Below are 26,428 nucleotides of genomic sequence, written 5' to 3'. Positions count from 1 at the left end.
AGAGGAGAACATAAACATAGTGGTAAAGCTCCATGGCATAAGTCTGGAGCTATGTGAAATCACTGTGATGGACAAAAACAGACAAATGTCACTGCATTGATCTGAAAGCTTTCTAAACATCAAAGGAAACAATTAACAGAATGAAAAGACAACCCACAACCTGGGAGAAAACATTTGCAAATCATAGATTGGATTAGAGGCTAATATTTAAAATACACAAGGAACTCATACAACTGAATAACAAAAAAAAGAAATAACCCTAATTAAAAATGGACAAAGGTTCTAAATAGTAATTTCTCAAAAGAATACATAGAAATGGACTACAGATATAGGAAAAAGTGCTGAACCTCTCCAATCATCAGAGAAATGCAAATTAAATCCACAATAAAATATCATCTCACACATGTTAGATCATCTCTTATCAAAAAGACAACAAATAACAAGTGTGGGGAAGGTATAGAAAAAAGAGAACCCTTGTACAACATCAGTGGCATTGTAAATTAGTACAGCCACTTTGGAAAACAATATGAAGCCTCTTCAAAAAACTAAAAATACAATCACTAATGATCCACAGATAACCAAAAGGCCAGGGGTCCAGTGTAGGTCCTGCAGCTCACCACAAAGAAAGCCAATGATTAGGACAATGAGTAGTGCCAGGAAGAAGGAAGAAGGATTTAACGGGGTGCTGCAACCAAGGAGGTGGGATATCAGTCTCAAATCAATTTCCCTGACCAACTACAATGAGGGGGTTATAGAGCAGGGAACACATGTAACAATATGTAAGAAAACAGGAACTAGAGAGGGGCAAGAAAACAATCATGATGAATAAGGAAGCCTGCACTGCATTGTCTGGATGTGGTGATGGATGAGTTTCAATTCTTTGATACTTTTGTTTAGAGGCCTGATGGTCATTTCCTGGGGAAGGAATGCAGAAAAAATGAATGTAAGTTTCAAGCTTTAAGACCAGAAAGGTCAATTTCTATATTTATTCAAAAAGTTGCCTATGGGACTATTGGGTGGGTTTCACAGCTCTGCCACTACTGGGTATACATCCAAAGAAATGAAATCAGTGCGTTGAAGAGATAGCTACACTCCCATATTGATTGCAGCATTAGTCACAAGAGCCACAATATGGAAACAACTGTAGTGCCTATCTGTGGGTGAATGTATACAAATATTTGGTGTGTATACACAATAGAGTACTATGTAGCCTTTAAAAACATGAAATTGGGGGTGGAGCCAAGATGGTCGAATAGGAATAGCTCCAATCTACAGCTCCCAGCATGAGTGACGCAGAAGACGAGTGATTTCTGCATTTCCAACTGAGGTACCGGGTTCATCTCACTGGGGAGTGTCAGACAGTGGGTGCAGTGCACCGAGCGTGAGCCAAAGCAGGGTGAGGCATTGCCTCACCTGGGCAGCACAAGGGGTCAGGGAATTCCCTTTCCTAGTCAAAGAAAGGGGTGACAGATGGCACCTGGAAAATTGGGTCACTCCCACCCTAATACTGCGCTTTCCAACGGTCTTAGCAAATGGCACACCAGGAGATTATATCCCGCACCTGGCTCAGAGGGTCTTACACCCACGGAGCCTTGCTCATTGCTAGCACAGCAGTCTGAGATCAAACTGCAAGGTGGCAGCGAGGCTGGGGGAGGGGTGCCTGCCATTGCCAAGGCTTGAGTAGGTAAACAAAGTGGCCGGGAAGCTCAAACTGGATGGAGCCCACTGCAGCTCAGGGAGGCCTGCCTGCCTCTGTAGACTCCACCTCTGGGGGCAGGAAATAGCCAAACAAAAGGAAGCAGAAATCTCTGCAGACTTAAATGTCCCTGTCTGACAGCTTTGAAGAGAGTAGTGGTTCTCCCAGGATGCAGCTTGAGATCTGAGAACGGACAGACTGCCTCCTCAAGTGGGTCCATGACCCCCGAGTAGCCTAAGTGGGAGGCAACCCCCTGTAGGGGCAGACTGACACCTCACACGGCCAGGTACTCCTCTGAGACAAAACTTCCAGAGGAACGATCAGGCAGCAACAGTTTCTGTTCACCAATATCCACTGTTCTGCAGCCTCCACTGCTGATACCCAGGCAAATGGTCTGGAGTGGACCTCCAGCAATCTCCAACAGACCTGCAGCTGAGGGTCCTGACTGTTAGAAGGAAAAGTAACAAATGGAAAGGACATCCACACCAAAACCCCATCTGTATGTCACCATCATCACAGACCAAAGGTAGATAATACCACAAAGATGGGGAAAAAGCAGAGCAGAAAAACTGGAAACTCTAAAAATCAGAGCACCTCTCCTCCTTCAAAGGAACGCATTTCCTCACCAGCAATGGAACAAAGCTGGACAGAGAATAACTTTGATGAGTTGAGAGTAGAAGGCTTCAGACAATCAAACAACTCTGAGCTAAAGAAGGAAGTTCCAACCCATGGCAAAGAAGTTGAGAAACTTGAAAAAAAATTAGACGAATGGCTAACTAGAATAACCAATGCAGAGAAGTCCTTACAGGACCTGATGGAGCTGAAAACCAAGGCATGAGAACTACGTGACGAATGCACAAGCCTCAGTAGCTGATTTGATCAACTGGAAGGGAGGGTATCACTGATGGAAGATCAAATGAATGAAATGAAGCAAGAAGAAAAGTTTAGAGAAAAAAGAATAAAAAGAAATGAACAAAGCCTCCAAGAAATATGGGACAATGTGAAAAGACCAAATCTACATCTGATTAGTGTACCTGAAAGTGACGGGGAGAATGGAACCAAGTTGGAAAACACTCTGCAGGATATTATCCAGGAGAACTTCCCCAATCTAGCAAGGCAGGCCAACATTCAAATTCAGGAAATACAGAGAATGCCACAAAGATACTCCTCGAGAAGAGCAACTCCAAGACACAAAATTGTCAGATTCACCAAAGTTGAAATGAAGGAAAAAATGTTAAGGGCAGCCAGAGAGAAAGGTCGGGTTACCCAGAAAGGGAAGCCCATCAGACTAACAGTGGATCTCTCGGCAGAAACTCTACAAGCCAGAAGAGAGTGGGGGCCAATATTCAGCATTCTTAAAGAAAAGAATTTTCAACCCAGAATTTCATATCCAGTCAAACTAAGCTTCATAAGTGAAGGAGAAATAAAATCCTTTACAGAGAAGCAAATGCTGAGAGATTTTGTCACCACCAGGCCTGCCCTAAAAGAGCTCCTGAAGGAAGCACTAAACATGGAAAGGAACAACCGATACCAGCCACTGCAAAAACATGCCAAATTGTAAAGACCATCAAGGCTAGGAAGAAACTGCATCAACTAACTAGCAAAATAACCAGCTAACATCATAATGACAGGATCAAATTCACACATAACAATATTAACCTTAAATGTAAATGGGCTAAATGCTCCAATTAAAAGACACAGACTGGCAAATTGGATCAAGAGTCAAGACCCATCAGTGTGCTGTGTTCACGAAACCCATCTCATGTGCAGAGACACACATAGGCTCCAAATAAAAGGATGGAGGAAGATCTACCAAGCAAATGGAAAACAGAAAAAGGCAGGGGTTGCAATCCTAGTCTCTGATGAAACAGACTTTAAACCAACAAAGATCAAAAGAGACAAAGAAGGCCATTACATAATGGTAAAGGGATCAATTCAACAAGAAGAGTTAACTATCCTAAATATATATGCACCCAATACAAGAGCATGCAGATTCATAAAGCAAGTCCTGAGTGACCTACAAAGAGACTTAGACTCCCACACAATAATAATGAGAGACTTTAACACCCCACTGTCAACATTGTACAGATCAATGAGACAGAAAATTAACTAAGATACCCAGAAATTGAACTCAGCTCTGCACCAAGTGGACCTAATAGACATCTACAGAACTCTCCACCACAAATCAACAGAATATACATTCTTTTCAGCACCACCCCACACGTATTCCAAAATTGACCACATAGTTGGAAGTAAAGCACTCCTCAGCAAATGTAAAAGAACAGAAATTATAACAAACTGTCTCGCAGACCACAGTGCAATCAAACTAGAACTCAGGATTAAGAAACTCGCTCAAAACCACTCAACTACATGGAAACAAAACAACCTGCTCCTGAATGACTACTGGGTATATAATGAAATGAAGGCAGAAATAAAGATGTTCTTTGAAACCAACGAGAACAAAGACACAAAATAACAGAATCTCTGGGACACATTGAAAGCAGTGTGTAGAGGGAAATTTATAGCACTAAATGCCCACAAGAGAAAGCAGGAAAGATCTAAAATTGACACCCTAACACCACAATTAAAAGAACTAGAAAAGCAAGAGCAAACACTTTCAAAAGCTAGCAGAAGGCAAGAAATAACGAAGATCAGAGCAGAACTGAAGGAAATAGAGACACAAAAAACCCTTCAAAAAATTAATGAATCCAGGAGCTGGTTTTTTGAAAAGATCAACAAAATTGATAGACTGCTAGCAAGACTAATAAAGAAGAAAAGAGAGAAGAATTAAATAGATGCAATAAAAAATGATAAAGGGGATATCACCACCGATCCCACAGAAATACAAACTACCATCAGAGAGTACTATAAACACCTCTACGCAAATAAACTAGCAAATCTAGAAGAAATGGATAAATTCCTTGACACATACACCCTCCCAAGACTAAACCAGGAAGAAGTGAATCTCTGAATAGACCAATAATAGGCTCTGAAATTGAGGCAATAATCAATAGCTTACCAACCAAAAAAGTCCAGGACCAGATTTATTCACAGCCAAATTCTACCAGAGCCACAAGGAGGAGCTGGTACCATTCCTTCTGAAACTATTCCAATCAATAGAAAAAGAGGGAATCCTCCCTAACTCATTTTATGAGGCCAGCATCATCCTGATACCAAAGCCTGGCAGAGACACAACCAAAAAAGAGAATTTTAGACCAATATCCTTGATGAACATGGATGCAAAAATCCTCAATAAAATACTGGCAAACCAAATCCAGCAGCACATCAAAAACTTATCCACCATGATCAAGTGGGCTTCATCCCTGGGATGCAAGGCTGGTTCAACATATGCAAATCAATAAATGTAATCTAGCATATAAACAGGACCAAAGACAAAAACCACATGATTATCTCAATGGATGCAGAAAAGGCCTTTGACAAAATTCAACAATGCTTCATGCTAAAAACTCTCAATAAATTAGGTATTGATGGGACGTATCTCAAAAAAATAAGAGCTATCTATGACAAACCCACAGTCAATATCATACTGAATGGGCAAAAACTGGAAGCACTACCTTTGAAAACTGGCACAAGACAGGGATGCCCTCTCTCACCACTCCTATTCAACATAGTGTTGCAAGCTCTGGCCAGGGCAATCAGGCAGGAGAAGGAAATAAAGGGTATTCAATTAGGAAAAGAGGAAGTCAAATTGTCCCTGTTTGCAGATGACATGATTGTATATCTAGAAAACCCCATCGTCAAAGCCCAAAATCTCCTTAAATTGATAAGCAACTTCAGCAAAGTCTCAGGATACAAAATCAGTATGCAAAAATCACAAGCATTCTTATACACCAATAACAGACAAATAGAGAGCCAAATCATGAGTGAACTCCCATTCACAATTGCTTCAAAGAGAATAAAATACCTAGGAATCCAACTTACAAGGGATGTGAAGGACCTCTTCAAGGAGAACTACAAACCACTGCTCAATGAAATAAAAGAGGACAAAAACAAATGGAAAAACATTCCATGCTCATGGGTAGGAAGAATCAATATCGTGAAAATGGCCATACTTCCCAAGGTTAGTTTATAGATTCAATGCCATCCCATCAAGCTACCAATAACTTTGTTCACAGAATTGGAAAAAACTACTTTAAAGTTCATATGGCGCCAAAAAAGAGCCCACATCGCCAAGTCAATCCTAAGCCAAAAGAACAAAGCTGGAGGCATCAAGCTACCTGACTTCAAACTATACTACAAGGCTACAGTAACCAAAACAGCATGGTACTGGTACCAAAACAGAGATATAGACCAATGGAACAGAACAGAGCCCTCAGAAATAATGCTGCATATCCACAACTATCTGATCTTTGACAAACCTGACAAAAACAAGAAATGGAGAAAGGATTCCCTATTTAATAAATGGTGCTGGGAAAACTGGCTAGCCAAATGTAGAAAGCTGAAACTGCATCCCTTCCTTACACCTTATACAAAAATTAATTCAAGATGGATTAAAGACTTACATGTTAGACCTAAAACCATAAAAACCCTAGAAGAAAACCTAGGGATTACCATTCAGGACAAAGGCATGGGAAAGGACTTCATGTCTAAAACACCAGAAGCACTGGCAACAAAAGCCAACATTGACAAATCGGATCTAATTAAACTAAAGAGCTCCTGCAAAAGAAACTACCATCAGAGTGAACAGGCAACCTACAGAATGGGAGAAAATTTTTGCAATCTACTCATCTGACAAAGGGCTAATATCCAGAATTGACAATGAACTCAAACAAATTTACAAGAAAAAAACAAACAACCCACCAAAAAGTGGGAGAAAGACCTGAACAGACACTTCTTAAAAAAAGACATTTATACAGCCAAAAAACACATGAAAAAATGCTCATCATCACTGGCAATCAGAGAAATGCAAATCAAAACCACAATGAGATACCATCTCACACCAGTTAGAATGGCAATCATTAAAAAGTCAGGAAACAACAGGTCCTGGGGAGGATGTGGAGAAATAGGAACACTTTTACACTGTTGGTGGGACTGTAAACTAGTTCAACCATTGTGGAAGTCAGTGTGGCAATTCCTCAGGGATCTAGAACTAGAAATACCATTTGATCCAGCCATCCCATTACTGGGTATATACCCAAAGGACTATAAATCATGCTGCTATAAAGACACATGCACACGTATGTTTATTGCGGCACTATTCACAATAGCAAAGACTTGGAACCAACCCAAATGTCCAACAACGGTAGGCTGGATTAAGAAAATGTGGTACATATACACCATGGAATACTATGCAGTGATAAAAAATGATGAGTTCATGTCCTTTATAGGGACATGGATGAAATTGGAAATCATCGTTCTCAGTAAACTGTCGCAAGGACCAAAAACCAAACACAGCATGTTCTCACTCATAGGTTGGAATTGAACAATGAGAACACATGGACACAGAAGGGGAACATCACACTCTGGGGACTGTTGTGGGGTGGGGGGAGGGGGGAGGGATAGCATTGGGAGATATACCTAATGCTAAATGACGAGTTAATGGGTGCAGCACACCATCATGTCACATGCATCCATCTGTAACTAACCCGCACATTGTGCACATGTACCCTAAAACTTAAAGTATAATAATAATAAAATAAAAAAGGCTTCAAATGATAGTTTGAAATATTTTTTAAAATTTGAACTTCTTAATTCCAGCAGTTCTGTTTATTCATTTTTTAAATACAGTTAGGTACTTCAAATTTTTGATCCTTTTTCTGGCTTCTTTCTGTTACATTTCAACTTTCTCTTGGATCTCATTGAATTTGTTTTCATCCATATTGTGGATTCTATATGTGTCATTTTAGACATTTCATTCTGGTTAGGATCTATTGCTGAGTAGTTAATGAGATCCTTTGGAGCTGATGAAACACTTTGTGTTTTTGTTTTTTTGTTTTTTTTTCATTGTCTTGCCAGAGTTCTTGTGCTGATTCTTTCCCATCAGAGGAGCTGACACTTTCTTTCTCCTTCTTCTCCTTCTCCCTCTCCTTCTTCTCTTCTTCTACTTTCTTCCTTGAATTTGCTATTGTTTTAATTGGGCTTCTTGATTATTTACTCTTTTTTTTCCCTTGGAGGTATTACTGTGATGTATATTGTATATTATTAAATGGCCTTGTTTTGGGGTGCTTTCAGGATGCCAAGGCTCTGTATGGGTTTCTTGGCTGTAGTTAGTTTTGTAGCTTTCTCAGATGTTAATTGTTATAGTGAGGTAATTGCATTTGGTTGTAGAATTCAGGCTGCAGTCCTTACTTAAGAGTAAGCTCCAACAAGTAGAGATGGGGCAGAGGCAATGAAGAAGCACAAAATATGCCTTTCCTCAGTGTGCATTTGCCTTCAGTGGGGTTGGTGCTGCTGGAGAAGACTGAGGAGCACACTCTTTTAGCCCACACTCTCTGGGCCCCAATGGGAAGAGTCACTGCTGAGTTTGCAATAGTGCACTAAAGAGAGGGGCAGTGGGGAATAGATGATTCCCTCTCCATGTCAGTGTCTGGTGCCATGCTTGTGCTTCCCTTGACACAAGGCGGGGCTTTGGTGGGCTGTACTTTTCCCTCCCTTAGGGGTGGTCCACACTGATGATTAGATCTCTAGAGGAATGGGGGTCCACCTCCTCCTTGTTCTTCAGAGCAGGTGGGGCACTTTTCCCCACTGACCAAGGAAGTATGGAATATCAGTTTTTCGTTTTTTTCAGTCTATGGGTTTCTTTTAAGGTAAAATGAGTCTCTTGGAGGCAAAATATATGTAGCTCTTATTACTTTCTTAATCCATTCAGTCACTAGATGCATTTTGATCAAATAATTTAATCCACTTACATTCAAGTAATTATTGACAGGTAAAATTTTTCCAGTTCCATTTTGTTTATTGTTTTCTAGTTGTTTTAAGATCCTTTGTTGTTTTCTACCTCTCTTGTTTTTTTTCTTTATGGTTTGATGGCTTTATGTAGTGGTATGTTTGGATATATATTTTTTTCTTTTGTTTATCTATTATAGGTTTTGCTTTATAGTTACCCTGAGGGATATATAAAATCTCTTATAACTGGTTATTTTAAGCCAATAACACCTTAATTTTGATCTCAAACACACACACTGTATTTTTACTGTCCCTGATTCCACATTTCATGTTTTTAATGTCATCATTTATGATGTGGATATTTTCTCAGTTATCCAGCGGGTAGTAGTTTCTCAACTGGTTTTTGATTTTCTGTCAGAGGGAAGTCATCTGTGAATATATATTTATTGGCTATGTCTGTGGGTGGAGTAGAGTAAGGAGCCTCCTATTCTGCCATGTCAAAATGTCCTATTGAAACAGGTCAGTGGTCTCGTGTCTGAGGTGTTATATGAGCTCATTGTCTCACAACCAAGAAAATTAAGGAGCAGGCACAGAAAATGTGAGGTTGGAATGAAAGCTTAATAAGTGACACAAGAAAGTTCTCTGCAGCGAAGATCGGAGCCCAAGTGGGTTGCCACTTTTATAGTTGAATGCAAAAGCTTTTTTTTTTTTTTTTTTGAGACGGAGTCTCGCTCTGTCGCCCAGGCTGGAGTGCAGTGGCGGGATCTCAGCTCACTGCAAGCTCCGCCTCCCGGGTTCACGCCATTCTCCTGCCTCAGCCTCCCAAGTAGCTGGGACTACAGGCGCCCGCCACTACGCCCGGCTAATTTTTTGTATTTTTAGTAGAGACGGGGTTTCACCGTTTTAGCCGGGATGGTCTCGATCTCCTGACCTCATGATCCGCCCGCCTCGGCCTCCCAAAGTGCTGGGATTACAGGCGTGAGCCACCGCGCCCGGCCGAATGCAAAAGCTTTTATGGGAAACTATTCTCTTTTCTGTAGCTGTTTGAGTAACTTCTCTTACCTGTAAAGCTGTCTGTATAACTCTCCTTATCTATGCAGCGGCAGGCACATCAAGTGTAGCTTCTCTTGTTTGTATAACTGTGGGTCTGTTTTATGTAAACCTCCCTCCCTGTGCAAGTTCCCATGGAGCCCACGGTGATTGTGCCTGAAAAGGGGAGGAAACTTTTTCCTGGGAGTCCGTTAATCATACAGAAAACAAAAGGCTTCTATGCTGGACTTTGCCTCCTTATCTCTCTATACCTGGGCATTCTGAGTTTTCCCCAGACTACTCTATTTTTGCCTATAGCTGTCTGCCTAACTGATTTTTCTTTTTCTTCTCCCTCACTATTCCACTGACACCAAAATACACTGTTTTAAGTATACACTTAGGTGGTTTTTAGGATATTCACGGAGTTTTGCAACCATTACCACTATGTAATTCCAGAACATTTTATCACCCCAGAAAAGAAATGTTATACCCATTATCAGTCGATCCCCATTCTGTAGCAAGCTGTTTTCAGGTTCATCCATGTAGTTGTATATATCAGTACTTCATTTCTTTTATGGCAAATATTCCATTGCATTGTTATACTACATTTTGTTTATCAGTTGTCAAATTCAAATTGAATAAAAAGGAAAATTTCTAAATTTGAAATGTTTTATTTGGGAACAAGAATTGCAATTTGGGACACACCACAGACTGTGTGGTCTTCAGTATGTCTGAAGAACAAAGACAAGATTCGAAGTTTTATAAAAAGGAGGAATGTTACATAGTGTTCTGAAAGAAAGTTCATTGGCACTAGTAAGATTTTTGGGAGCTGGCAAGCTCTGATTGGTAAATGACAATGTTGGGTAAAACTACTCTTAGAATCACAGCAGGCTGTTTCAGCAGCCATTGGATTAAACTGGCTTCATGTTACAGCAGACAGCTTTGGCATCCAGGCTTGCAAAGAGTTACATTCTTGGAGTAAAGTTTTATTCCCTGGGTGATTTCCCACCTGTCCTGTGGACTCTGTTTCAGTTGGTATGACAGGAATTTCCCTTGTGACTAATGATATTGAGTATTGCACTATTCTATAGGCATGCTATGAATTAACAAAAAATTTAAAATATGCTTTGCTTTTATTTTTAGATACATAATATATTATGATATTTGGTAATTACTTTGCCTGAGTTATTGTTTTTTTTTTCTTTGAGACAATGTTTGGCTCTATCACCTAGGCTGTAGTGCAGTGGCAGGATCTTGCCTCACTGCAATCTCTAGCTGCCTAGCTCAAGCCAGCCTCCCACCTCAGCCTCCTGAGTAGCTGAGACTACAGGCATGCACCACTACATCCAGCTAAATTTTTTTTATGTTTTATAGAGACAGGGTTTCACTATGTTGCTCAGACTGATGTTGAACTCATGAGCTCAAGCGATCTGCTCACCTTGGCCTCCCAAAGTGCTGGGATTACAGGCTTGAGCCACCACACTGGGCCTTGCCTGAGTTTTAATGTTTTCATCGGTACCTACCCTCATAACATATTTTTATTTAATGTTTATTATATGTATCTTTAATACTATATAACATTATATATATTTTATTGGGAATCTGTTTAATTTAGACCAATTTGTGTGTGTGGAAAGGAGTAAAATGTCATTAAAATTATCTCAGCATTTAATCAATATACGCATGACCCGTGTAGCTATATTGTCAAAAAATCCCTCTCCCTTAATCTAAAGAAGATAGGAATAGTAGAAATTCAGGCAGAATTTCTACTATTGGAGAATTGGGGAAGAAATGCCCCAAAATTAGATTAGAAAATGGAATTTGGCAGATTTTTATAGATTACTAAAAGCAAATGATGCCACAGATTTAAATAAGACTAAAAAGTGATTTAATGTGGTCAATAGATACATAAAATATTCAGTAAAAATATTAAAAAAAATTTGCTTTATTTTATTCACTTTTACCAGAAGACATCTCATAGTTCTAAAACACATGTATATAGTCCTGAATAATTTACACTATTTACCTTAAACTATTTCCAGAGAGGTGAATTATTTGCTATCCAAAAAGAATTACTGATACCCCTAATAATTAGCAAACACTTAAAAAATACTTAATACTGATGAAGGTTCACTTAGATATTCAAGAATTGTTGATGGAATGTCAAATTGGCATACATTTTTTAAAATAATTGAGCCTTGTGTGGCCATGAGTATAAGATTATTGACCCAATAATTATACATCTGAAAACAAATATTTATTTATTTTATTTTATTATTATTATTATACAAAGGACATGAACTCATCATTTTTTATGGCTGCATAGTATTCCATGGTGTATATGTGCCACATTTTCTTAATCCAGTCTATCATTGTTGGACATTTGGGTTGGTTCCAAGTCTTTGCCATTGTGAATAGTGCCACAATAAACATACGTGTGCATGTGTCTTTATAGCAGCATGATTTATAATCCTTTGGGTATATACCCAGTAATGGGATGACTGGGTCAAATGGTATTTCTAGTTCTAGATCCCTGAGGAATTGCCACACTGACTTCCACAATGGTTGAACTAGTGTACAGTCCCACCAACAGTGTAAAAGTGTTCTTATTTCTCCACATCCTCTCCAGCACCTGTTGTTTCCTGACTTTTTAATGATTGCCATTCTAACTGGTGTGAGATGGTATCTCATTGTGGTTTTTGATTTGCATTTCTCTGATTGCCAGTGATGATGAGCATTTTTTCATGTGTTTTTTGGCTGCATAAATGTCTTCTTTTGAGAAGTGTCTGTTCATATCCTTCACCCACTTGTTGATGGGGTTGTTTGTTTTTTTCTTGTAAATTTGTTTGAGTTCGTTGTAGATTCTGGTTATTAGCCCTTTGTCAGATGAGTAGGTTGCAAAAATTTTCTCCCATTCTGTAGATTGCCTGTTCACTGTGATGGTAGTTTCTTTTGCTGTGCAGAAGCTCTTGAGTTTAATTAGATCCCATTTGTCAATGTTGGCTTTTGTTGCCATTACTTTTGGTGTTTTAGACATGAAGTCCTTGCCCATACCTATGTCCTGAATGGTATTGCCTAGGTTTTCTTCTAGGGTTTTTATGGTTTAGGTCTAACATGTAAGTCTTTAATCCATCTTGAATTAATTTTTGTATAAGGTGTGAGGAAGGGATCCAGTTTCAGCTTTCTACATATGGCTAGCCAGTTTTCCCAGCATCATTTATTAAATAGGGAATCCTTTCTCCATTTCTTGTTTTTGTCAGGTTTGTCAAAGATCAGATAGTTTTAGATATGCAGCATTATTTCTGAGGGCTCTGTTCTGTTCCATTTATCTATATCTCTGTTTTGGTACCAGTACCATGCTGTTTTGGTTACTGTAGCCTTGTAGTATAGTTTGAAGTCAGGTAGCGTGATGCCTCCAGCTTTGTTCTTTTGGCTTAGGATTGACTTGGCAATGCGGGCTCTTTTTTGGTTCCATATGAACTTTAAAGTAGCTTTTTCCAATTCTGTGAAGAAAGTTATTGGTAGCTTGATGGGGTTGGCATTGAATCTATAAATTACCTTGGGCAATATGGCCATTTTCATGATAGTGATTCTTCCTACCCATGAGCATGGAATGTTCTTCCATTTCTTTGTATCCTCTTTTATTTCATTGAGCAGTGGTTTGTAGTTCTCCTTGAAGAGGTCCTTCACATCCCTTGTAAGTTGGATTCCTAGGTATTTTATTCTCTTTGAAGCAATTGTGAATGGGAGCTCACTCATGATTTGGCTCTCTATTTGTCTGTTATTGGTGTATAAGAATGCTTGTGATTTTTGCACACTGATTTTGTATCCTGAGACTTTGCTGAAGTTGCTTATCAATTTAAGGAGATTTTGGGCTTTGACGATGGCGTTTTCTAGATATAAAATCATGTCATCTGCAAACAGGGACAATTTGACTTCCTCTTTTCCTAACTGAGTGCCCTTTATTTCCTTCTGCTGCCTGATTGCCCTGGCCAGAACTTCCAGCACTATGTTGAATAGGAGTGGTGAGAGAGGGCATCCCTGCCTTGTGCCAGTTTTCAAAGGTAGTGCTTCCAGTTTTTGTCCATTTGGTATGACATTGGCTGTGGGTTTGTCATAGATAGCTGTTATTTTGATACTAATTCATTTTGAGACCACAGTTTATATACAAAGATGTTTACTGCATTGTTAAATTAAAATGCAAAACTGAAAAATTATCTCAGTGTTAGAAATTGTTAAATGAGTCATAGCACATATTTATGATGTAATATTAATCAGGCACTAAAATTACATGTACAAATAATTATTGATAAAATATATGAAATTATAAGTCATTATTAAGAAGTTTTTATGTTCCAGTCACTAAATAAACATTTTACATAGGTTAGTGCCAATAAGCCTATCAAGAAACCTATGATGTTAGTGCTATTAGTATTCATATTTTATAGATGAGGAAACAGAGGTACAGTGGTGGTAAGTAACCTGCAGCTAATAAGAGGTATAGTAGGGATTTGATCTCCATTTTTATGATTGGAGTGCTTGGATTTAACCACTTTGCCATTTTGCTTCTCTCTAGATCAGGGAGTATAAATGTTTTATTCCAAGTAATAAGGCTAATAATTATTAAAAGCAGGCACTGTGTCTGAAACAGCAAATTCAAAGATAAGTTTCTACAACCTGGTTGCTTGTGGCATCTCAAAAATCTCAGATAAAGGGAAATCTGGGAAAACTGGTGGGGGATTATAACATCTTGAAATATGTTAGAAATCATAAACATGGAAGAAGGAGTGGACAGGCTTGAGTATTATTATTATTATTATTATTATTATTATTATTATTAGAGATGGTCTTGCTTGGTAGTCCAGGCTGGAGTGCAGTGGCGCTATCTGATCTCTGCTCACTTCAACCTCGCCTCCTTGGCTCAAGTGATCCTCCCACCTCAGCCTCTGGAGTATTTGGGACCACAGGCCCCCATGCCCGGCTACTTTTTTGTATTTTTTGTAGAGATCGGGTCTCGCCATATTGCCCAGGCTGTTCTCAAACTCTTGAGCTCAAGGTGATCTGCCTGCCTGGGACTACAGGGGTGAGCCACTGAGCTCAGTCTTGAGTACCTTCTAAGAGCAAAATTACCACATGTAGATCAAAATTTTAAATGAATTTTAACAAACTGTTTTAAATTCAGAAATTTACACAACTAGAGCCATCTAGTTATTAGACAGGAAGTCTTGAAAAAAGTATAATGGAAACATTTTGGCCAGCTGTAAAAAGACTCTGTTTTTAGAAATACTGTGCTAAGAATTTCTGCATGAGATAAAGTTTCTTTTAAATACCAGGAGTCTGCCAAAATATCAGGATTCTTCAGAATTTTAACCTAGGCATAAACCATTAGAAACAAAGAATATTTGTAAAGCAATTGACATTGTAACTATTTGCCATTAAAGACAAAATGCCTCCTAATTTTATAAACATACATATCAAAATATGTATATGGCATACAATAAGTAAATAAATATTAGTTCTAAATATATATAGAAATAACTACATGTATCTTTTAGCAACAGGTGGCATCCCTCAAGGGTGTCAGTAAACTGCAATCTAGTCTGGCCTGTTTTGTATGGTCAGTGTACTAAGAATGATTTTTATATTTTTAATGGGTTGCTAAAATAAGACAAACCAAAACAAAGAGAATATGCAACAGAGACTATATGTGCTCTAAAATGCTTAAAATATTTACCCTTCAATCTTTATAAAAAACATTACTGATTCCTGTTTTACATTTAATAATTTGATATCACATAATGACAATTTTTTTTCTCTACAAGATTAAACAATATTTTGTTGTCAAAATTTATTTGTCTAACGGCCAACAGAATTGTAAAATAACAGTTTGGACACTAGAGGGAGACTTTACATTTTTCTTTTTGATTTTCAGACACAGAATGTTCAAGTGAATACACTCATATTAAACTTGAGATAAATTCAGATTGATTTGGTGTTATCTTTTCTAAGACAACACATCACAGATGATACCGGTAATGAAAATTTTCCTTGAATTTGCTTTCCATAGCTGCAGCAACAATGGTATGTTTTTCTAATCTGGCTAATGGCATCGTACCAGATTCCTCTTATGCCCCTCAGACCCACTTATCCTCCCCCATCTCTCATTCTAGCTCTGTCTGGGCTCTCTACAGGTGCCACCTAGCCGTCCTTCACCTCCTGCCCACAACACACACTCAGCCGTCTTTCCCAGAAATGCCCAGGTGTGTGCAGCCCCAAAGTATGGGGAGTTCATATTCTAAAAGGTGTTTTTGTATTTGCCTCCTCTGAGGGCCAGCCATCGCATGGTCTTTACATGGCTTTTTCAGGTATGCTTCCACTAACTGAGCAAGGGCTCAGTTTCCACAGTTATCAAGGGCCAGCTGCGTAATGTGTCCTTGTTTTGGCTCCCCTGCCTCTTCTGTTTTACTAGCTTTGTTCCTCATTTCTGCTATGTGGGAGTGTGCTTCTAATAAAATAATGGTTCATAAGCTATGTTAGGCTCAGCTTTTTGAGAAAGTCAAGCTAAGAGAAGTAATGAAGGAGAAAAGAAAAACTCAGCTTCATTGTTCTGGAATCCATCTGGTTGCCTGGATTTTGATGTTAGAACACTTGAGATGTTTCCTTGTTTTTCCACATGCTGGGGAAAAGTGCACTGTGCTTGAAATGTACATTCTAAACATAACCACTTAGGTCACAAAATAAGAAAATCAAGTTAACATCCACATAACCCAAATGAATCCACCACCAATTACTGCTAACTCTTACTTTGCTTTTTTTATTTTTCTGGGAATTTCTCACATATTTCGAGAAGGATTATCTACGATTATAAAACAGGATCTTTCTCTCTGGCCAAAGATACCCTAAAAAGCTGAGACAATCAGAGCTCTTTCTGAGGAATTTGGATTTTTAGTTGACTGCAGCTCAGTTTGCACCTATTCTGTGGCTCAGATAGGATGCAAGCACACTTTTATATCACCCCAAAAAACAGCACTTTTATTATTAAAGTGGAGCCTATCTTTTCATCAATGAACAAGTGGCGTTATATATTGCTTCCAATATGGAAAATGTAAATTTTTGTTATCTGTTTACTAGTTTTTCATTTAAAAAAATCCCTTGACAAGTTTTTACACATAATATTGTTACTAATATTTTAAGACTTTACTGAAGAATAGCAGACAAACAGAAATGCATGCTAATTATAAGAATACAACTGATTACATTTCACAAAGTGAAGAAATCTTTGCAACCAGTACCCAGATTAAGAAAAATAACATCACTGTCTCCCAGGAAGTCCCCCTTATGTTCCCTTCCTGACCTACTCCCTTCTTCTCCTGACATCAAAGACAGCCACTACTGTGATTTCAAACACTATTCTTTTTTTGAACTTTAAATGGAATCATACAGTGCGTACCCTTTTGTGTCTGGCTTCTTTCGTTCAGTTTGTCTTGGTGATTCATCCAATTTGTATGCAGTTGTATTTCATTCTTTCTCATTACTTAATAGAATTCCATAGTGTAAATAAACCTTTATTTACTTTTACTTTATTCAACCGTTGAAAGGAAGTTTCTAGTTTTTGGTTGGTTGTGTGCAGTTAGCAGACATTGCCAAAATGTTTCTCAAAGTGGTTGTGCCAATTTATAAACCCCTAAGATGTGTAAGAGAGTTTTATAGGTATGTTATAACACTATATGGTGGTTCCGCTTTTTATTTCCATAACAATTAATGAAATCAAGCACCTATTTATTTATTTATTTATTTTTTATTTTTTGAGATGGAGTCTCACTCCGCTGCCCCAGCTGGAGTGCAGTGGCACAATCTCGGCTCACTGCAACCTCTGCCTCCCAGGTTCAAGTGATTCTCCTGCCTCAGCCTCCCAAGTAGCTGGGACTACAGGCGCACGCCACCACGCCCAGCTAATTTTTGTATTTTTAGTAGAGACGGGGTTTCACCATATTGGCCATGCTGGTCTTGAACTCCTGACCTTGTGATCCGCCTACCTCGGCCTCCCAAAGTGTTTGGATTACAGGCATGAGCCACTGCTCTCGGCCTCAAGCATCTTTTTATATGTTGAGTGGCCATTTGGATATTTTCTTTTGTGAAACAGTTTTCTACAATGTTTTCTTCTTTTTGACTTGTAGAAGTTACTTACATATTCTGGGTGTTTGTCCATTGTGAATTGTGATTATTTCAAATATCTTCTCCCAATGCATAGACCTGACATTTCACTCTTTTAATTGTACCTTTTGAGAGACAAATCGATTATTGTCCAGTCTATCAATGTTTTTCTTAGTAACTGCAGCTCTTTTGTTGTGCTTGAGAAATCTTCGCTCATTCCAAGGTCACAAGGATGTTCTCTTATGTTTTCTTCTGGTAGTTTAATTGTTCTACTATTCATACTCAGATCTCCAGTCTATCTGGAGTCTACTTTTTAATCAACTGTGAAGTAGGAATCAATGTTGACATTTTTCATGTGAAGGTGTAATTGACCCAGAACTATTATTTGAAGAGACGTTTCTTTTCTCTTTGCACTACAATTTACCTCCACCATAATAAAGTGTGGGGATGTGTTTCTAGATTTTCTGTTTAGTTCCTTTGGTTTATTTGTCTCTGCTACTGCCCACAGCACACAACCTTAATTACTATAACACAGCTTTTCTGGGAATTGGTTTGAGACCCTGTATTTAGAGTGTGGACTCTAAAGATTATTTTTGAAAGAATGTAAGTCTTTATTAAGTCTTCTGATATGCAAACATGACATATACCTCTATTTAGATTAACATAATAATGCAGAGATCTTATATGATATCTTTTGTTAGATTTATTTATGGATATTGTCGTATTTTTAATTTCCAAAATATACATTCCTTTTGTGTGTTTTTGGTATACGAGGATACACTTACTTTTACATCTTTTCGTACTTTAGAACCTTTGTTAATTTGTTTGTTAGTTGCAATATGCCTGTAAATTCCTTCAGATTTTCTACATATACAATGTGATGTCTGCAAATAATGATTTTTCCCTTTTGTCTTTATAATTCTTATTTCATTCTCTTACTTCATAACATTGATTCATTCTTCACTTCTAAGTAGAAAAGAAATTGTTAAAGTGGGTATCTTTATCTCCACCTTCATCTCAACATTTCATCATTAAGAATTATTTTTTAATTAAAAAAATCTTTACCAGTTTGAGGAAGTTCTCTTTTATTCACAGTTTGGCAAGAAAGCTTGGATAACTGGCTAGCCATAGGCAGAAGAATGCATCTAGACTCCTATCTCTCACCATATAAACAAACTAACTCAAGATGGATTAAATCTTTAGATATAAAACCTCAAACTATACAAATCCTAGAAGAAAACCCAGGAAATACCATTCTGGACATTGGCCTTGGCCAAAAATTCAGGACTAAGTTCTCAAAAGCAATTGCAACATAACCAAACGTTGATAAGTGGGATCTAATTAAATGAAAGACCTTCTGCACAGCAAAAGAAACTATCGACAATGTATACAGATAACCTACAGAAAGGGAAAAAACATTTGCAATCTACACCTAATAAAGTTCTAATATGAAAAATCCACAAGAAACTTAGACAATTCAACAAGAAAAAATGGATAACCTCACTAAAAAGAGGGCAAAGGACATAAATAGACACTTGTCAAAAGAAGACACATAAGCAGCCAGAGAGCATATGAAAAAATGCTCAATGTCATTAATTATCAGAGAGCTGCATGTCAAAGCACAATAAGATACTATTGCACACCAATCAGAATGGCTATTATTAAAAAGTCAAAAAATAACAGATGCTGGAAAGGATGTGGAGAAAAAAGAACACTTATACACTGTTAATGGGAATGTAAATTAGTTCAGCCATTGCGGAAAGCAGGGTGGTGATTTCTCAAAGAATATAAAACAAAGCTACCATCTGACCCAACAATTCCATTATTGGGTATGTACTCAAAGGAAAATAAATCATTCTGTAAAAAGACACAAGTGCCCATATGTCCATCACAACACTTTTCACAATAGCAAAGACATGGAATCAACCTAGATACCTAGATCCCCATCAATGGTGGATTGGATAAAGAAAATGTGGTACATATACACCCTGGAATATTATACAGCCATAAAAAAGAATAAAATTATGTTCTTTGCAGCAACATGGATTCAGTCAGAGGCCTTTATCCTAAGTGAATTAATGCAGGAACAGAAAACCGAATACTGCATGTTCTCACTTATAAGTGGAAGCTGAACACTGAGCACACATGGACATGAAGATGGGAACAACAGACACTGGGGACTGCTGGAGAGGGGAGACAAGGAGGGGAGCAATGTCTGAAAGACAGCCTATTGGGTACTATGCTAACTTAACTGAGTAATGGGGTCATTTGTACCCCAAACTTCAGCATCTTGCAATATACCCATGTAACAAATTTGCACACGTACCACCTGAATCTAAAATAAAAGTTGAGATTATAAAAAAGAAATATGTTAAAAATAAAATAAAATATCAATAATAAATATTGAAATTTATCACTTCTTTTCCATCTATATTTACTTATTTTTTCTAGCCATTTTTATATTCCTAGGATAAAAAACTTGTTATCATACATTTATAAATTGTTGGACTTTGTTCACTAATTACAAATATTTTTGTTTATGAAAGAAATGGCAAGTAATTATTATTGTAATATCCTTGTCAAGTCTTTATATCAAAGTTATGTAGGCTTCATAAAATAAGCTGTGAAGTCTCTCTCCTCTTTTCTATGTGATTTTATGTAACAGTGGTGCTATTTGTTACTGAATTGTTTTTAAAAAGTCACCAGTGAAACCTATGGGCCAGGATATATCTTTGCAAAACGGTTTTAAAAATCAAATTATTAAATATAGGGGCATTCTTTTCCATTTCTTCTGAATTCTTCTTTCATTACAAGGCTATAGTAGTCAAGGCTATGTTATATAAGTGGCAGGAGAGACACAGATTAAAGAAATAGAATAGAAGGTCTGCGGCAGACTGCCACGGTTACTACTTGAGACCGTCACTACGATAGTCATTACTGTTACTACTTGAGACGGTCATTACGAGACTGAACAAAGGGGGATGAATACAGAAATGAAAACTTAAAACAAAAGAAACTGTTTTAAAAAAGGGGCCAGGGGAAGAAGAGGGCTCTGTGCTTTTAGTGAGCAAAAGCAGCTGCCCTGAGCTTCTGCAGTCCTTTGTATTTATTGGGTAGAAAGAGCAGGGAGGAGGAGCTAACGACTGGTCAGCTGCTTGATTGATCACAGGTTCATATTATTACTAACAGGCTTCAGATTTGCCTAATCACAAGAAACACTTGTGCCTTGGTGGTGACTGCCCTCAGCATTCCTTCTGGGCAGCAGACACAGTGTGTCAGTTTGCTAACATCCTGCTGTCATGAGAACAGTTTGCTGTTTACTCATATAGCCTCCAGTGGTATACTGAGTTTTGCACTACCCTCATTCTTTTGGCTTTCAACAAAAATCCAGAAATAGACCCATACACCTAGTAAGCTGGATATTTTTTCTTTAAAGAATGTTAACTATTTAAAGTAAATGTTCAAATTTATTAGAAAAAAGTTTTTTACTAGTTTCTCTTATCTGTTTATTATATATCGGTGCTTCTCATAATATTCTCTTTTTCATTCCAAATATTGGAATTTGAAGATTTTATCTTCCTCTCTTGATGAGACTTGCTAGAAGTCTATCCATTTTATTAATCAGTACAAATAACTAACCTTTGGCTTTATTGATATTTTTTGTTCATTAATTTCTGCTTTTATCTTCATTTTCTTTCTGCTGCTTTCTTTGCTTTTCATTAGGTATTCTTTTCCTAATGTCTTGAGATGAATAATTAAAACTTGATTTTCAACATTCTCTATTTAATATAAGAACTGAAAGCTATAAATTTTCCTTTAAGCACAACTCTTAGTTTCATAAGCTTTGTTATATTTTATTATCATTTTCATTTAGAATACATTCTAATTATTTTTTAAATTTCTTCTTTATGTTTAAATGTGTATTACTTTATTTTCAACAACTGAGGATTTTAGTCATATATATTTTTGGGTTTTTTAAGCATAATTTTATTATGGTCAGAAGACATACTCTGAAGGATTTCAATTCTTTTCATTTTTTGAGACCTTCTTTTTAGCTTATCTTGTTGTTAGTCTGGGGAAATATCCCATGTGTATTGGAAAAAAATGCATAGTCTGTCATGTTGTAGTTTCTTATATTTATTAATTAGATTAATTATAAATTCCTTATATTCTAATATTTTGTCAATTATTTTGTTTGCTTGTTTTATCAGTTGCTGATAAATCCTCCAATTCTAGTTATAGATTTTTCTATTCCTCCTTTTTAGTTTTATCAATTTTTGCTTTATATATTTTAGGAGTATATTATTGTCTGTATGTTGCTTAGGAGCATTTTATCTTCTTGCTAAACTTATGTAATTACTGACGTATTTGGGTTTATTCATTTTCTTGCTATTATTGATTTCATTCAATTTGTTTTACATTTCGGTTTCTCTGTCTTTGCCTTATTTTGAATTAATACAATATTTTAAATATAATAGACTCTACTGTTAGTTATATATTCATATTAAATCTTTTAATCATTAACCTTGAGATTGTAATATAAAGTTTCACTTTACCATGTCCTTGACAATACTATGATATTATAATAGTTTAATTCCATTTACCCCTTTTGGTAGAATACCCTTTTGGTAAATGGAATTAAATAAGGGGCTAAATGGAATTATATAAGATAATAATAAGACATTATTATTGGGATACTCTTTCCTTTGTTCTTTTTTTTCTGCTTTTCTGTCCTTTTATCTGGAATCCTTTTCTTTTTGCCTGTAGAATTCCACTTGATATTGCTGTTAGTTTAGATTTGCTGACGACAGAGTTTAGTTTTGTTTTTCCAAAACATTTTTATTTCACCTCCATGTTTTTGAAGGATGTTATTTGCTGGGTATAGAAATCTAGGTTGTTGGATATATTTTATCAGCACTTTTAAGATGTAATACACTGTCTTCTAGCTTCTGATGATAAGTCAAAAGGAATTGGGTAATATGTCTATTTGTCCACCTTGTTTTTGAGATTTTGATCTTTCCTTTGGTTTTCAGTAGTTTTGTTATGATGTACACAGAGATATTTTTGTTTATATTCATTCTGCTTGGCATTTGCAGAATGCCAAGTAGAATGAATTTTTTTTTTTGAGACAAGGTCTCACTCTGTTGCCCAGGCTGGAGTGCAGTGGCACTATCACAGCTTACTGCAACCTCTGCCTCCTAGGGTCAAGCAATCCCCCCACTTCAGCCTCCCAGGTAGCTAGGAATACAAGCGTGCACTACCACATCCAGCTAATATTTGTATTTTTTTGTAGAGATGGGGTTTCTCCATGTTGCCCAGGCTCGTCTCAAATTCCTGTGCTCAAGTGATCCTCCCACCTTGGGCTCCCAAATTACTGGGATTACAGGTGTGAGCCACTGCCTCTGGCCTTAATGCTTTTTCTGTATTTGCCTTGTTTCACTTTGTACTTCAGTCTAAATATTTCAATTAATCTACCATTGACTTCCATCTTCTGGATTGCTGTGTATGAGACAGTTTTGGCAATAACCTCAGTGGCATTTTCACCTGAAGTCGTTCCCATGATGGGCTAGTTTTGTGTCATTCTGGAAGTCTCCTTCTGATTATGATGGAATAGCTGTGGTAGACCAACCCCCCATTGAGAAATATTAGAAGAGTTTTTTTAATCTCAGTTGATTCAGTAGCTTTCCAATGTCTTCAAAAGTTGTTTTTATTTTTAGTGTTTTATCGGATCCTGAAATATTGCTGAAGAATATCTTCATGTTGCCAGGAACTTGCTGATTAGGAGAAACAGCCTCATCACCACCTTCTTAATCTCATGGGAATATATCTAACTGGTGGAATCAAATTTACATGCAAACTCCATGCTATACGATAGCCTAGAATATGTAACTTTTATCTTACCAACTTCGTCAATGATAAATAGAATGAATGGAGCTTCAATGAGCCATTTCATCATATGTAGTGTGATATCCTTTGGCAGGATAATCTTTCTGTCGTTTCTCTGAAAAATGGGGAAAATAATATCTTGTTTGTTATTATCTGGTTGATAAGAAATGGAGAAGTTTATGAATGGTGATTTAAAAATACTTATTTCCTTTTCAGAAGAGCACAATAAGTAATTTCTCTATCTATCTAACTTATTTTGATCATTAAATGACGGAAAAAGCCACATGGCTGGGAACCAGAGATGGCTTCTAAGCTGCTTCAAAGGAGCTTTTATTTCGTTGGATGGAATAGCGTGAAGTCAGAGTGGCTTGCTTGGGTTAATAGGGGGAGATTTTAGGGATCTTGAAATATCAAGGAAAGCCAATGAAAGCAATTCAGAGTAGAGCTGATAGAAAAGAGAACCATACAGGGAGAACAGAAATAGCTAATAGGGATTTTTATGAAATGGTTATTGTACACAACAGTGAAATGTACACCATCTTATTTGTCTTTCAGCAAAACCTTTAATGAAAGTCTTGTCAATCATTAATGCACTATGGCATTGAATCACTTATTCTTTCATTTTAGTTTCTTTGTTTTAAGAGATGTGGCCAAATGCTGAGTATGGCCTCAAAGTAGACCTTGGGTCAGGACAGAGATTTGCAGCGGAAAAGTTTTTGTATTTGTTTCATATAAAGTATTTCGTACAGTGAAAGAACTCTTAAAACTGTGACATAGTTAAATTTATTTCAAATTTATTCCTTTCTTCCAATTTAAAAATCTTTTTAATTTGGGGATTTGACCACAGTCTTTACAGTAAATTACAGTTAACCTTGATACATGACTTTAGCAGTGCCATATACATAACCCAATCCCTATATATAGCTAACATATTCGCAAATGTGAGAAAACAATAAAAAACTATAAAGTTGTCTTCCTGAGTATTGAAATCTGGTTAAAGTTTAACTCATCTTAATGTTTAAGAAAGAACAATTTATTATTCACACAAGGTTACAATGATAAACCATTGATTTTTATGATAAATAATATAATATTACAACTGTAGAGTAAAATTACAACAAAGATTCAGAATCACTATTTGTTTATTATTTTATTTTCAGAGACACATAAACATTAAACTTCTTAAATTTTTATTTAAAATACTTTTACTGGCTGGGTGCGGTGACTCATGCCTATAATCGCAGCACTTTGGGAGGCCAAGGCAGGCCTGACCTGATGTCAGGAGTTTGAGACCAGCTTGGCCAACATGACTAAACCTCAACTCTACTAAAAAATACAAAAAAAAAAAAAAATTAGCTAGCATGGTGTGCACTTATAGTCCCAGATACTCTGGAGGATGAGGCAGGAGAATCACTTGACCCCGGGAGGTTGAGATTGCAGTGAGCCAAGATCCTGCCACTGTACTCCAGCCTGAGTGACAGAGCAAGACTCCATCTCATAAATAAATAAATAAATAATAAGTACTTTTACTTCCTTGATGTAAAGATATTAGGCTCTGCTGTAGTCTGATTGTTGGCATCTCCTTAAATTCAAATGTTGAATGAAGTCTTAACCGCCAAGGTGAAGGTATTAAGAGAAGGGGTTAGGGGGAGATGACTAGGTCCTAAGAACAGAGCCTGAAAGAATAAGATTAGTGCCCTCATAAAAGAGTCCCTAGAGAACTAGTTAGTCCCTTCTGCCATGTGAGGTTACAGAGCCAAAGCTGCTGTCCATGAAGGAAGGAGGCTCTTACTGACTCTGTCGTTGCCTTGATCTTGGACTTTCCAGTACAGAACTGTGAGAATTAAATTTTTGTCATTTCTAACTGACCAGTCTATGGTATTTTGTTATAGTAGCCTAAACAGACTAAGACAGGCTCATTTGATGGAAAGAAGAATAAAATAAAAGGGTAGGATCCAGGGTTTCTGAAAATTAAAAATAAATGTAATTTCACGGTTCAGCTTCAAGACAGTCTTTTTAGGTCATTTGCTACTTCCATATAATTGCTCTTACTGGGTATATACAGGTGATAAGATACAGAAATTTGAAGAAATAATCTAGGAAATTTAGGCCCAGAATTTGTTTTGTCAAGAGGAACTAAAATTACTAAAATTGAGTTTCACAATATTTGATTGGATTCGTTCTATGATTGTTTCTTTTTCAGGAGAGATAAAATGTTCTACAGGAATCAAAGCTTGTCATTCACTCAGGCCCTCACTTGGTGGCAGTATGTTAGAGAAGACTGCTTGTTCCAGAGCCTGGTTCTCAGCTTTGCAATCTACAGATGGTTCATTCTAGCCACGTGTGCAAGGATGTGATATACTAGAGTGCACATTGATTACTTGAACTTCCTTGAAATATCATTTTCAAGACAAGACTACTAAGGACTGTGAGTATATTCTCTCAATACTATAATAATACTAATAATGATATCTTACATTTTTGAGTTTTTAGGAGACACTAGACTCTGTTGTGAGTACTTTACATATATTGGCCCATTTGTTCATCACTTTGACATTTTGGACCAGGACTTTCATGACAGCTATCTTACCAGATGATTAGACTAGGGCAGGCAGAGGTAAAGTAACTTGGCAAAGGTTATAGTAAATGATAGAGCTAAGATACAGTCTCTGGCAGTCTGATCCCAAAGCCTATGCTCTCACTACCATTTGAGTTGCCTATAGCAGTTGCTACGGCACATAAACTCAAAGTATCGGTAGCCGAAATACCGGACATAGATGTTAGTGGTTGTGGAGCTTTTCTAGGCAGTTCTCCTTC

The 26,428-nt window shown here is 37.2% G+C and overlaps 1 long non-coding RNA gene across 1 annotated transcript in view; it reads left to right on the top strand.

Moving 5' to 3' along the window:
* LINC01594 (long intergenic non-protein coding RNA 1594) overlaps positions 1–26,428 on the top strand; it is a 50,094-nt gene that overhangs the window by 7,345 nt on the left and 16,321 nt on the right. The window contains exon 2 of the long non-coding RNA NR_131251.1: positions 25,815–26,039. This is a non-coding gene — a long non-coding RNA (long intergenic non-protein coding RNA 1594). The remainder of the gene's footprint in view (positions 1–25,814; positions 26,040–26,428) is intronic.

Source organism: Homo sapiens, chromosome 2 (assembly GCF_000001405.40).
Source record: "Homo sapiens chromosome 2, GRCh38.p14 Primary Assembly".
NCBI classification, from domain to species: Eukaryota; Metazoa; Chordata; class Mammalia; order Primates; family Hominidae; genus Homo; species Homo sapiens.
The sequence above is the reverse complement of the archived record's forward strand: the minus strand, read 5'-3'. Positions and strand labels throughout refer to the sequence as shown.